Raw genomic sequence first — 1,398 nt, 5'->3', positions numbered from 1 at the left:
AAGTAAAATATACTTTACAGATGTACTGCTGATGGGTTACCAGTCATGTGCTTAGGTGTTTACCCAAGAGAAATGAAAACATATGAAGCTTGTAAAAATGTTCAGAGAAGATTTTCTCATAATAGCCCCAAATTGAAAACAACCCAGATATCTATCAGAAGGGGAACAGATAAACAAACTGTGATACTACTTAGCAACGTAAACTACTGATACACATAACTAAATGGATAACTCTCCAAAAACTAATGCTGATCAAAGCAAGCAGGACAGAAGAGTACATTCTAGGTGGTTTCATTTCTATAAAGTACTAGAGCAGGCAAAACGAGTCCACAGTGCTAGAAATCAAAACAGGGTTTTCCGTAGGTTGGAGATATTGATTGGAAAGGGTCATGAGGAAAGTTGCTGGGTAAATAAAACTACGCTATATCTTGACAAGCATGGTAGATACACAGATTGCACACTGGCCAAAGATCATTGAACTGCATTCCTAAAATAGGTATATTTTAATGTATATTAATCTAACCTCAATAAGCAAATAAAAATTATAACACAAACTAAGTACACACAGCATTATTCTAGTTTTATTTTAACAAGGTCACTTAATAAATAGGGCAATCACATAAATGTCAGGTCTATAAGAGTAATTTTTGATAACCTATGTTCTCATTTTATATTTATTTTATATCTGTACATTATATTATTTATTACATTAAATTATATTAAATTTACTTATTTATACCATGCAGTTTATATTTATATATTTTATTATATATAATTTCTATATGATATATATTTATTGTATTAATATATTACTTATAAACTTATGTTTTATTATATTTATATATTATATTTATCCAAATAATGTTTTATTGGAATTGAAAAATAATTTATCATTATAAAAGCTGTTCAATAATTAAGATCATACAGTTATGAATGTCTTGAAGAAATCAAGCCTTGACCTCAGGAAGCATGGCAGAGCTCTGTAGATGTTGGTGATTTCTAGGGTTCCTCACCTTAGTTTTCTATTTTTTCCACTCCATACATACTCAGCCACATTTAATAACCCTCATCCTCCCACCACCACTACCTGGAGCTACAACTCTCACTATCTTTTTCCATGGAACTAATCCCTCTCCTGAGATTTACTCTTTCATATCTATCTGCCTCCTGGGTATCTCCAACCGAATGGCAGGTATCTCAAACTCAACAATTTCTTACTAGAAATAATTAATAAACCACTTCCCGAAATCTTTGTGCATTTTTTAGGACGCACAGTTGCTCACTGCTTACACCAAGGAGGTAAGGATTGGCCTCGTTTCCCCCTTTACCATCACTGTACATCTAAAGGGTGTAAAGTTCCCGCAGTTCAGTCTCCCAAATAGCTGTCACACGTGGCCC

This window comes from Homo sapiens, chromosome 8 (assembly GCF_000001405.40).
Source record: "Homo sapiens chromosome 8, GRCh38.p14 Primary Assembly".
Taxonomy (NCBI): Eukaryota; Metazoa; Chordata; class Mammalia; order Primates; family Hominidae; genus Homo; species Homo sapiens.
Note: the sequence above shows the minus strand (reverse complement) of the source record.